Source organism: Homo sapiens, chromosome 17, assembly GCF_000001405.40.
Source record: "Homo sapiens chromosome 17, GRCh38.p14 Primary Assembly".
Lineage (NCBI taxonomy): Eukaryota > Metazoa > Chordata > Mammalia > Primates > Hominidae > Homo > Homo sapiens.
The window spans coordinates 9,239,422-9,251,976 of NC_000017.11; the positions used below are offsets into that span (position 1 = coordinate 9,239,422).

General features: G+C 56.1%; 2 protein-coding genes across 6 annotated transcripts in view, besides 1 other annotated feature; one reads left to right on the forward strand and one right to left on the reverse strand.

Moving 5' to 3' along the window:
• Window positions 1-4,579, forward strand: part of NTN1 (netrin 1) — a 240,914-nt gene extending 236,335 nt beyond the window's left edge. For all 3 annotated transcript variants that reach the window (XM_047437096.1, NM_004822.3, XM_006721595.4), the window contains exon 7: window positions 219-4,579. In XM_047437096.1, coding sequence (XP_047293052.1) covers window positions 219-547 — 329 coding nt within the window. In that variant the 3' untranslated portion in view covers window positions 548-4,579. The remainder of the gene's footprint in view (window positions 1-218) is intronic.
• Window positions 562-1,011: a silencer, noted in NCBI's record as "silent region_8197". NCBI's record gives its function as "represses an Ori minimal core promoter by ATAC-STARR-seq in GM12878 lymphoblastoid cells {active_cell/tissue: GM12878}" and the evidence as "EXISTENCE:reporter gene assay evidence [ECO:0000049][PMID:35858748]".
• The window catches only part of STX8 (syntaxin 8), a 325,350-nt gene continuing 323,844 nt past the window's right edge, over window positions 11,050-12,555 (reverse strand). For all 3 annotated transcript variants that reach the window (NR_033656.2, NM_004853.3, XM_011524079.2), the window contains one exon: window positions 11,050-11,224. Coding sequence is in view for 2 of the 3 variants with exons in the window: in NM_004853.3 (NP_004844.1) it covers window positions 11,157-11,224 (68 nt within the window). In the remaining variant the exon portion in view is untranslated. The remainder of the gene's footprint in view (window positions 11,225-12,555) is intronic.

Below are 12,555 nucleotides of genomic sequence, written 5' to 3' on the forward strand. Positions count from 1 at the left end.
GTGGCACCCTCACAGCGTGGGAGGCAAGGCTTCTTGGCCCTGTTGTTAGCAGGTGGGGGTCTACGATCAGCTTGCCACCACCCACGCGCTCCTGTATGGGCCACTCTGTGCAGTCACTTCCTGGGGCTGGGTCTCCTTTCCCTTCTCCCCAGGCTCAGGCAGGGCGGACCTAGCCACAGCAGCTGGGAGCCCACCCGTCTGCCTGTGCTTCCTTGCAGCCGTCCAGATCCACATCCTGAAGGCGGACAAGGCGGGGGACTGGTGGAAGTTCACGGTGAACATCATCTCCGTGTATAAGCAGGGCACGAGCCGCATCCGCCGCGGTGACCAGAGCCTGTGGATCCGCTCGCGGGACATCGCCTGCAAGTGTCCCAAAATCAAGCCCCTCAAGAAGTACCTGCTGCTGGGCAACGCGGAGGACTCTCCGGACCAGAGCGGCATCGTGGCCGATAAAAGCAGCCTGGTGATCCAGTGGCGGGACACGTGGGCGCGGCGGCTGCGCAAGTTCCAGCAGCGTGAGAAGAAGGGCAAGTGCAAGAAGGCCTAGCGCCGAGGCAGCGGGCGGGCGGGCGGGCGGGCGCCAGGGCGGGGCCGAGCGAGAGCGGGCGCCTTGGCCCGGCCGCCGCGGACTTGGCCCGCGAGGGCTTTCCCAGGTGGGGGGAGGGAGGGGGCGGGGCCGCACGGCGCGGGGGGCGGGACCCTCGGCGGCCCCTCCCCCTACCCCCACCCTGCGCGCTCTGGGCGGGAGCCGCGTGCACGCGGGGCGGGGTGCGCCGCCGGCCGGGCCCTGGAGAAATGACGAGACGTAGCTACCTCACGGGGCTCCTTCCAGAGCAGAGACGCGCTTCCCTGGGCCTGGGCGCGGCCGCCGTGGAGGGGCTGGGGGCAGCCTGCCCTGGGGCCCGGGGGCGGGCGCAGAATCGCACAACTGGGGCCCCAGGCGCGGGGCGTGGATGGCGCGGAGACGTGGACGGGAGGAGAACTGTGAATTCTCAAGCCCGTAGTGTGGGCGGGGCGCGGAGCACCCACCAAACCACCACCCGACACGCAGCCGACGGGATCCCCCCCTTTCTCCCCGGCCCCTTCTAGCAGTTCCCCGCGGGCCACCTGGCTGTCACAGCCTGGACTCCTCCATCTGAAGGGGCCTGGCAGCATTTGGGGAGTGGACAGCTCCTGTCCAGCCAGCATGCCCCAGGCGGCCTCTGTCTCCACTGCTACCTGCTGAGTGGGTCCTACTGGGTGGGGGCTTGGGGTCGGTGAGTGGTTCACCTGTGGAGAGAGGAGAGGAAGCCCCTGCTGCTGCCTGTCTCTGCCCCTGCCCCTGCCCCTGCCCAGCGTGGGGCTGGCCCATCCGGAAGGCAGTGGGCCCAGGGACACCCCTGAGAAGCCCAAGCCGGGTGGTCACCGCCTCATGCTGGAGCTGCCTGTTGGAGGAGGCATCGCAAACGCAAAACCTCCCAGAGAGTTTCCTTTTGGAAACTTGGAACCAGCCCTTTTTATGACGTTTTCCAGGGGGAGGGGGAGGGGCACTGGCTGGGTTTACGGCAGTGACACTATTTATGTAAATGACATCAGCTCCCGCAAGGCCCCTCAGCAATGTCAACAGCTGGAAAGGGCCTGAACGGGCTTGGAGTCTGCAGGCTGCGAAGGCACTTGGGCCTGGCTTGGGGCCGGGGGCTTGTTTGAGCTGGGATGGGGTTTGCTGGCTCAGTGAAGTACCAGAGTGCCTGAGCCATGGGTGGGCAGGGGCACAGGAATGACCAGGTTCCTGGGGGCCAAGGAGGCCATGCTGGCTTCTCCAAGGGAAGGCACAGAGGCTGCCGGCCTGCCCCCTACAGCTGTCTTGGGTCTGGCCTGGGCCACACCTTGACCGTGCCTTTCCAGACGGTCTTTGTGGAGTCTGCCCGTGCCCTCCACTGTGCCCCAGCCCTCCTTCCAAAATCTCCTAGAGACACGGTCCTCAAGCAGGCAGCCCCTTTTGTTCTGACCTCCTCACACAGGGTCCATTCCTGTGCCCTGGGGCCTCCTGGCTCCCTGCCTTCCTGGGCTCTCTGCACTGCCCGGGCCTCTGGCCCACATCCTCACACCCGGCGCACTGAATTAAGAGGCCTGGCTCCCCTCACAGTCAGGAAATTGGTTTCACTTTCCCGGCCAGAGTTTGGCTGCTCAAAAGGGTCATACCAAGTATGAAGCTCGGCCCCCGGTGGTCTGGCTTCCCTCCGCCTTCCCCACATTTACCCGCATCACGGCTGCCATTTATTGAGCACCTGCTGTGTGCCAGGCACTTTACCCACATGCTCCCAGTGTGTACTCATGACAACCCTGTGGGACAGGGACTCATTATCACCAGCAAGGAGACTGGAGTACACGTGCCCAAGGTCATGCTGCAAATTGGTGGCAGGACTGGGGCTCAAACTCCAGAGCCCGACTTTCTGACCAGGGGCCACGCTGGCCCTCACTGCACTCCAGCTCTGCAGCCTACCCGCCCAATCCCTGTGCAGGCTGGGAGGGTGCTCTTGGGGGAGTGGCCACCGAGCCCCTGGCCCTGGTTACTGCCTCTTGAGGACACTGGCATCTGGGCTGGAGAACAGGAGCCCGGGGTGGGGTAGGGCATGGGGACAATCACATCTTCAGAGGAGGCAGCAAAGTGGTGCGGGATGCAGGGACGGACTTGCCAGATGGCAGCTCCAGGTTCCAGGAAGGCAGGCCTTGGATGCTCCGAAGAGGTGGTAGAAAGGTGTTTTTAGAAAGGTGTTTTGGCTGCCTCAGGGTGGTTGGAGAGACTCCAGGAGAGACTGGCAGAGGTGCCTCAGGGGCAGGGAGCAGACAGACCTGCCCTGGGAAGGGGCATTTGGCTTCCCTGAATCCAGCCCAAGGCTAGAAGACAGGGCCCCTCTCCAAGCTGTCAGCGCCCCTCGGATGCCCAGTGTGGTGTGCTGGGCGCCATCAGCATCACAAGGCACTACGCTGCTGGGGCGGTTGTCCTATTTCTGTCTATGCCAGTGTGGTTTCTTCACCCTGCCCAGAAGGGCTGTGGCAGCCCCACGATATCCCACCCTGGGTCTGGGTCTCACGGGTGTCCTGTGAGGGGCTTGCATTTGTGGTGGTCTCTGAGGCCACCTCAGCAACGGAGCTGGCGACACGCCAAGCAACAAGGCATCTTGCGGAAAATTCAGCCAGTGTCCTGCCCCTCCCTTCGGCTCAGCACCCCGCAGGGCACAGGCTGTCCGCCCGGTGGTCTGGCCCTTGGGGAATGCGTCAGGGTGACCAGATCCACCATGCTAGCAGCCAGGTCACTGTTGGGATTGCACGGTCGTCACGAGCTGCCTTTCCTATCCACACACCCAGCCAGGACCCAGCCCACCACTCCCGACTGCAGCCCCGGCCTCTGCGGTGAGCACCATCCTTGGGAAAGCACCCCTCCTCCACTCCGGTGCCCCACTCCAAGGAGCAGAGGGAAATGGGAATTGAGGTGTCCCGGTTTGTACAGTTAGGAAGGGATGTAAAACGGAACTAGATTTTGATTTTGAAGAGTGTATTAACCAGAATTGTGCTATGTAGGTGTTTGTTTGAAGAAAAACATACCAGATTAGTCTTTGTTTTTGAAACAGCTTCCCCAGTTGTCCTTTTTCTTACCAGCTGGGTGGTCTGGTGCCCCTGACAGCTGAGTGCCTGCTTTACGGACACGCAGTAATGCCGAAGATTTGCGGGGGAGGACATAGGGCTGTCCCCGGGATTCACCTGCTGGCTGTGGTCTCTGCCCACTGCTTCTGTCCTTGGAAAGCAGGGCAGGAGGCAGCATCCCCAGGGGCCTCTATGTGGGAGGGAGGGACACCTGGGGTCACAACCCAGGGAGGGAGGGTCACAGCCCAGGGAGGCTGGGAGCTGCTCCAAGGCCCTGGAACTCTGCCTCAGTCGCGGCATGCTGGAGAGGGGTACGGACTTACTTTCTTGGAGTTGTCCCAGGTTGGAATGAGACTGAACTCAAGAAGAGACCCTAAGGGACTGGGGAATGGTTCCTGCCTTCAGGAAAGTGAAAGACGCTTAGGCTGTCAACACTTAAAGGAAGTCCCCTTGAAGCCCAGAGTGGACAGACTAGACCCATTGATGGGGCCACTGGCCATGGTCCGTGGACAAGACATTCCTGTGGGCCATGGCACACCGGGGGGGATCAAAATGTGTACTTGTGGGGTCTCGCCCCTTGCCAAAAGCCAAACCAGTCCCACTCCTGTCATTGGACGTTTCTTCCCATTCCCTCCTCCCAAATGCACTTCCCCTCCTCCCTCTGCCCCCTCCTGTGTTTTGGATTTCTGTTCACTCAGAATTGTAAATGTTTAGTTGTGACCATGACGTATTGTTTGGGTCAATGTCCCTTTCCAATGCATACTAATATATTATGGTTATTATATATGAATATATTTAATGACATGGAAAAAGTTGTGGATTTTCTTTCTTTCCTTTTTTTTGGGGGGGGGTGGGGGGTTGGTTAGAGTTGTAATGGACCCAGATGGAACTTGTAATGTGGGCCCCACATGATAGAACTAAATTCAGATATCATTAAATAAACTCTTGTACACTATGCCGTCTCGCAGTCTTGATTGGTGGCCTGGGCTGTGGGAGGTGGGCGTGTGGGGAGGCAGGGGAAGGATGGAGTTTTCGGGGAGTTTGAGGAATATGGCTTCAGGCCGAAGAACTCCCCTGCAAGTCAGAGCCTGGGTTTTACCCAGAGCCTCAGAGACAGAGCCCTAACTAACTCCCCCGAGAAGGCAGGAGAAGAGCAGTTTTGCTTGGAATGTCCTAGGGCCTTGCTGGCCGTGCTGTTTTGAGCTAAAAGGTTCTCGAATGGGACAGTCTGTATTGCAGGCTGCAGGAAACCACTCCAGGGACCCATCCTTGCCATTCCCTGGAGTTCCAAGACAGAGTGGGGGGAAAGGGGTCCCCTCCCACTTTGCCTTACCTGCAACCCCCGGGTGGGCGGAGAGCCACCTTTGACCCTCCCCATTTGATTCAGAACCTGCAGGTAGTTTCTGACTTTTACATAACTGGCTTCTTCTATGAAAGCCAAGTAGAGACTCAAGAAACTACAGCAGGGTTAGTGAAACTCAAGAGATCTTGCAAAATATTTTTTTTCAAGCGATTGCTAAAGGCTTCGTGCGGTGCAGAGACTGGGCCGGTGCCAGCACCACGCAGCCACCAAGAGCTGAGCTCACTTGGTTTCTGAGAGGCTATATTTAAACCTCCAAATGGTTGTGATTTCTTTATTAAATAAACAATTCAGTCATTAGGAACATATTGTGTTGCCACGCAAAGTGGGGCCGATCATCACTAGGAAGCTATAATTTCTGCACCCAGCTGTTTTGAAGGCAGCCCTCCGCCATGGGCCCCGTCTAGCCCCTCAGCAACGCAGGCTCAACAGGCCCTTCCTTCGAAGGTATGGAAAGCCCCTTCCCTGCTGTGTGGAGAGCTGACTGGAGATGCCATTAGCTTCTGCTCAGGAAGAAATAGGGCCAGCCCTGCTGCCTTGGGGGTCTGGCTCTGCGGATGGGAGCTAGGCTCTCAAGAGCCTGGGGTCAAAGCCAGGGCAGGTACATACGTGAGTGGTCTCCGGGTGTCCCAATCAGTCTCAGGTGTAAGTCTCTGCTGAAATGACAACGCCTGACAGTGGGTGGGCAGGGATGACATCCAGGTCTCAGTTGGCCAGACAGGCTAAGGAGAAAGCAAGCCTATTCCGGGGTCTCAGGTGCTCCCCAGGGCCAGCGGGGCCGCTGGTAGCATTTAAGACCCGCTGAGAGACTGGGCTAAGAGGCCTGTGATGCACTTGAGGCAGCTTCATTCTCAGCTTTGGTCATTTTAGGTCAAGGGTCCAGTTCTTAAGGACTTTCATGATGTGGCTTTTTTTCTGTCCATTTAAAAACAAAAAAAGTGCGTGTCTGAGAGGGCCGCGTTTCCTTGGGACGCCACCACAGTCGGGCCCTGTGAGGGTGGCTGCAGCCCCAGGCCCACGGCCAGAAGGAAGCACACTGTTGCTCAGAGACACATTAGAACATGTACTGTCAACGGCCCCTCTGCCTCCCAGGACCTTATGCTGTAGTTGGGGAGAGAGGGCATCTGCCAAACTCAATGCAGGAAATAAGCTGCGTTGCTGCTAAGGACTGGCCCAAGGTAGTGGGAAAAGCCCATTTTAGAGACGGGAATGCAGAGTCACAAGGAAGCTGGGTGATCACCATCAGGGACCCAGAAGCCAGTGCTATCCAGTAAGAAATGCCTGATGGTGGGTGGGCAGGGACGTCAGAGCCCTGTGGGTGTCAGAGCTTCATGGGGCCTGCCCGGCCACCTGACCTGCCACCAGGGAGGCTCAGTCATTCATAAGGCTCTCCCCTGCCCATTCCCCTCTGCCTCTCAGAGATAGTGATGGCAGAGACAAGTGGCATGGGAGGCCCACTTGTAGCAGACACACCCTTTTCAGATTTTGTTGAACAGACATCTCTTTCTCCACTCTTCTTAAAACTAAATAAAGACATATAAGAAATAGGCCAAGAAAAATGGGGAATGAAAAGAACAACGGAGCCAGTAAGAGATAGAGGATATGGACGGATTACACACCTGCCTTATCAGACTGGAGCCTCAGCGGGACGGCAAGTCATTTCTGGAAAGAGATCAATGTCTTTTGTTATTGACATGTAGTTGGGAGGAAGTCTGTGAAATTGTAGGAAGCAATCGGAGGAAAGATGGATCTTGGCCCCCTTTTTAAAATAAGGGGCAAAAACGCACTTAATTTCAACAGGGCTGAGTTAGAAAATCCAACTAAGAGATGATCCTTAACTAGTCTCTGCTTAAGATACCAGTGTCACTGTGAACCTCAAGAAGCAGGGCATACGATTCTAAGGAGGCTAAGGCACTCTTTCCTGACCTGGAGGAACAATGCGGCTGTTTGGCCAGCCAGCAGTTCTCTCTGACTAGTCAGGAGGGAGCCTCGCAGGTTTTTGTTTTGTTTTGTTTTTTTGAAACGGAGTCTCCCACTGTCGCCCAGGCTGGAGTATAGTGGCACGATCTTGGCTCAGTGCAACCTCTGCCTCCCGGGTTCAAGCGATTCTCCTGCCTCAGCCTCCCGAGTAGCTGGGATTACAGGCGCCTGCCACCATGCCCAGCTAATTTTTTATATTTTTAGTAGACACGGGTTTTCACCATGTTGGCCAGGCTGGTCTCGAACTGCTGGCAGTTTTTGGAGAGGGGCCGTCGGCAACCTGCATCAGCCACGTAGAAGGAGAGTTTCAGGGATCTAGCTCATGGAAAAAGCCCAATCCCAGCCAGGCCGAAGGCTGCAGGCAGCAGAGAAAGAATTTTCCCTATCAAAGTCACAAATGACTGGTGGAGGCCGTGTCTAGGCTGGGGCCCTGCGGGTTTTGAAAGGAGCTGATCGTCTTGGGGCTAATGATAGCTAAGGTTTAGTTACAGTTACTAATAAAAATGAAGTTTAAATGGAACAAAAGTACCAGCTGTACCCAGGTATCTGGATTTCTTTATATGGTATCCAGAGTTAAAATGCTTATAATTAATAATCGGTTAGGTTAAACAGTACTTACACTGTTATTTTAATCACGGTTTATTTTCATTGAAAAAGCACCCGACATGGTGGCTACTAAGGCCCTGCCTTACCTCTCTTCTTTATGCTTGGGGTGAGGGCTTTAGGCTTGCCCAGCCAACTCCAAAGCACTCACTGTGGGTCACCCAGGACTGTGGTCCTGGCAGCTCTGAGGGGGGACAGCCAAGCCTTTCAAACCATGCTGGAAAATGCCACCTTTACATTAGCCACGCTCTCTAGGGTGGCTCTTGAGGCAGCAAATCCCCAAAAGGGACACATCCCAGCCACTTGGGTAATGCTTGCCACTTCTGGCCTGGTTGGGGTGGGGGTCTCATATGTCACCCACCCCTTGAGGAAGGCAAAGGGGAGCCGGGGTTTTCCTACCCGGCCCGTCCCCACCCTGTGTGGCCTGCGCTGCCCCAAGCCTAGACGGCAGGTCCCTGCATTCTAACCTCCTGGGTAGCTTTTTATCCACCCTGCCCTGCCTGTGGGTCCACAGAAATGAAGTAACTTGTCCAGGGTCACACAGCTAGCAGTGCTGGGGTCGGGCCTAGAGCCCATTCAGCCAAAAGAACAGAAGCCGCTGTGTGCAGACATCGGCTCAGTGTTTTGCTTGAAAAGGCCTTTCAGTCTGACTGAGCCAGGACTCCGTGGCTCTGGTTCAAAGACGCCCCACGAGTTGCCGGGGCTCCGTGCTGAGCAAGTCGAGAGGAGGTGAGAAAGTCAAACAGACTGTCAATGCCGCCTCCCCCGAGCCCCAAAGTGGGGGGCTCCCTCCAAGGAGACACTGTTTGTAGAGATTTGGGGTTTCGCACAAGACTGGAAGATGAGGCTCTGCAGATTCTTGATCGTCCGTTGGATGATCCGTTAGCAACCACCCCACCCCGACGAGGAGGCGCATCCCAGGGCGCCTTACCAGAAAGCCCTTGGTCCCCTGTCCAGCGTGGCTCCTCTCCTTCAGGAACACACGCACCTACAACAAGCCCGCTTCCTTTCCTTCTCCTTCCTGTGACAATCCAGGTCCTCGGCAGTATGGCTCATCCTCACTGCTGCCCCTGCTCCTCATCCTCTCAGCCCTTTGCACCTCCTGTCTCGACGCAGCCCGTTTCATTCTTCTAACTCTGCTTCAAGGGCCTCGACATCCCAAGGCTAGCCTGGGTCTGCATGTGTTGGCAGCTTCTCTGGAAGCAGGGATCAGGCTCCATAGAGACAGGAGAGCCCTTGTCCTGGGCCCTGGTTCACGCTCACATCCTCACAACAGTCTGTCCTATTGCACTAGGTGGAAGCATGGGACAGGATCCCCAAGATGTGGACTTGGAGGCATCTGGCCCACTGGGCCTAGACTTGGGTTGGGGAATAAACTTCTTTTTTTCTTTGAGACGGAGTTTTGCTCTTGTTGCCCAGGCTGGAGCGCAATGGTGCGACCTCGGCTCGCCGCAACCTCCGCCTCCTGGGTTCAAGCGATTCTCCTGCCTCAGCCTCCTGAGTAGCTAAGATTACAGGCATGCGCCACCATGCCCAGCTAATTTTGTATTTTTAGTAGAGACGGGGTTTCTCCACATTGGTCAGGCTGGTCTTGAATGCCTGACCTCAGGTGATCTGCCCACCTCAGCCAGAAGGAACTTTCTTTCAGCGGAGCCAAGCAGGGCGCTCTGTGCTTGTGTGTGCCAACTCACTCTGTCCTCGCAGCAACCCTGTGAATAGGAAGGACACCTCATCTCCACGCCCTAGACAAGGGAGCAGAGGCAGAGGAAGGTAACTTGCCCACGGTCTCTGAGCTGGTAAGTGGTGTGGCTGTCATTAGGGCCGTTCACTGCATATTTCAGGCTCTTGGCCTTCCAGACACTTCCTGGTCCCCTCGTGGTGAAGCAGGCCAGGTGATGAGCTCTGGCCAGTGAGCTGTGAGCAGAGGCAATGGGTGTGCTTCTGGGCTGCACGTGTCACTGCTGGCGTGAGAGCTTCCAGAGCTCCCTTGTCCTTTGCCAGAGAGACCATGGTGGCTTTCCCATCTGCCTGGGTCAGAGCTGGGCAGGTGTCTGGGCTCCTAGACCCCAGGTCTTCCCGGGACCCCTGGAGCCCTCAGTCCCTAGGAAATGACATTACACCAGGCTACACGTGGCTCTCTCTCTGGTGTCTCTGTCCACAGGGGGTTTCAGGTCATGCCCTCTTGAGCAAATCCACCAGAAACTCACCTGCTGTGAATCCCCTACCTTCTTCTCAGTGAAATCTTGTGCTTTGGAAATCACCCATCATCAACCCTAATTCTTTCCCCTTTCGTCCTGGAGGGCAGAGCAAGGCCAGCTGGCCTAGCCTGCTTTCCACACGTATAAGAGAGAGCACATGGTGCTTGGCCCCCTGACCCCTGCTAACACGAACTCAGCCATCCATGGGCCTGGCGTCCTCCGCAGGCCTGCCCCATCCGTCTGCCCTTTCTGAGACACACACACGTACACATGCGCTGCGCACACTCAACACACAGGGCTCTGTCGGAGCCAGGTGAGGCGCCACGGTAATCTCATCCCTCTGAACCCTCCACAGTGCTTTCCAGCCCGACCACCTCCTGCCCCACCTGCCTTATTCCACAGACTTGATTCTGGCTGCTTATAAAGATGTGTCAGCCCTGAAAGATGAGAGTTGATTGTCACCAAGGAGATGAAAAAGAATGCGCTTCCAGGGCTAATAGCAGTTCCCACAGGAATATTTTTGTGAAGTGGAGGCTGGCACCCCTAGGAGGAGTGCTGAGCCTGGCGGGGTGACTCGGGTGGGGCAGAGCAGCACGGTGGTGGTTACACACTCAGACACAGGCCTGTGTGGCTCCTCCGCACAGCCCTCACCTCACTCCTTCCCCGCTACCTGGACACACGTGGCCTTGAATATACACCCATTTCCTACACAGACATGTGGCTTCCACAAGCAGGCCAGACGTCAAGGTTTCAAACTGCCTATTAATCCAGTGTCCCCAGGATGCCCAGAGTACTGCGGGGTGGCCAGAACCCACTGGCCACCATGAGGTAGGGGACCCCGAGGGACCTCCGGCCAGCACGAAAATGACCAAAGTCAAAACTCAAAGGGCCACAACTGGGCCCAGTGCTCTAGGCAGCTCTCCAGAGCTCTGAGTCTTTGTTTTTTTGTTTTTTTTTTCTTTGAGACGGAGTCTTGCTCTGGTACCCAGGCTGGAGTGCAGTGGCACAATCTTGGCTCACTGCAACCTCCGTCTCCTGGGTTCAAGCAATTCTCCTGCCTCACCCTCCTGAGTAGCTGCAATTACAGGCACCCGCCACCATGCCCAGCTACTTTTTTTTGTATTTTTAGTAGAGACGGGGTTTCTCCGTGTTGGTCAGGCTGGTCTTGAACTCCCGACCTCAGGTGATCCGCCCGCCGTGGCCTCCCAAAGTGCTGGGATTACAGGCGTGAGCCACCGCGCCCGGCCGGAGCTTTAAGTCTTTACTGAAGCAATGCACAAGAGGTCAGAGCTTTGGGGGAATTTATTGAGAGCAGGTTTTGCGTACCAAAAGGGTGTTGGGCTTGCATCTGTCATTGGCAGGTGTCACTGCTGGTGGTCTCTTTACTGCCATCAGTTGGTCGGCCAGACTGCAACAACCACGATAGCCACAAGCAGCAGTAAAATCACCATGATCATCCCTGGAAAAAAGCAGCAGAAAATACTACTTTTAATGATTCCTACCAGAAAAGCATCACACATTCTGAGTGTCTGCAGAGACTCAGAGGGATGTAGTTCCCTCTGAGCCTTCAGTTTGTACGAAGTGGAGAGAGGTGGTCGGTGGCCTGGGGCGCCGCTGCTGCTACACAGCTCTGGCTTTGCAGGATGCTGAGTGCAGAAGGCAGGGGCCTGGGTGTGGCCAGGCCCCCCCAGGCAGCACTCAAGCCAGGAGGGGGTGAGGCCCCTAACTCTAGCATCTGTGTACACCTTGGACCACAAGGGAGGGCGCAAGCTGCTGACGACAGCCACCCTCACTACCCAATCAGATTATGCATTGATGACGCATTGATAAAGCAAAGGGCTTAGGAGAGCATTCTAGAACCCATTTCTCCATTCTCCACATGGCTTCACTTTGTGTTCTTGAGTCCAAGATCCTTAAGTCACCCATTTGTAAAAATATTCACCGATAGAGGTGCTTGTTTTGATATATACTTTTTCTGCTAGTATTTGCTAGTTTCATTTCCTGACGTTTTTGGCTGGAGAGCACAGGCCCTCCTAGCCAGCCCATGCTGGGTGCCACTCTGCCTTCCAGCCCCGCCCTGCCTCCTCTGGGTCGTGTGTCTGCACTGACCATTGCCTGTTCCTTCACCTGATGCTGATGAAGTGGGCCCCACAGAATGCAGCCCTCACTTAGTGCAATGAGCTCACTGTCTCCCATGTTCGCTTGCCCAGTATTTAACGAGTGTTTACCACGTGCCAGGTACCAGCGGCGACAAGGTATAGCATAACAGAGAAGGGGCGCCCTACTACAAAGTAAGCACTCAAGAAAGGTTTGCTCACTGAAGAGTCCTTGAGCTGCCAAGGCCCCACGAGAGAGGTGGGTAGCAGAGGAGGAGAGGTCCATGAAAATGCTTCAGAAAGTAACAGGGAGAGCCACGTGTGCAGGGTCACATGGTTGCACAGCCATCAGGACTGCTGAACGCCACGGTAGTCTGTGGCATATGTTCGTGAGCAAAGAAAATGCTAAATTTCAATTAGACATTTGTGAACATAAGAGTCCAATTTGCTTTCCGGTCCAAGTTCACGGGCTTCCCGAATCCCCTCCACAGATCCTCAGGGTTCAATGTGGATCAGGCCATACCAATCTTAAGCTCAACCCATGTGGGCACTGCACCATGGTTTTGAATATTGAAGAGACTTAAAAATGTATGGCAAGTGGCTGGGTGCAGTGGCTCACACCTGTAATCCCAGCACTTTGGGAGGCCAAGGCGGGCGGATCATCTGAGGTCAGGAGTTCGAGACCAGCCTGACC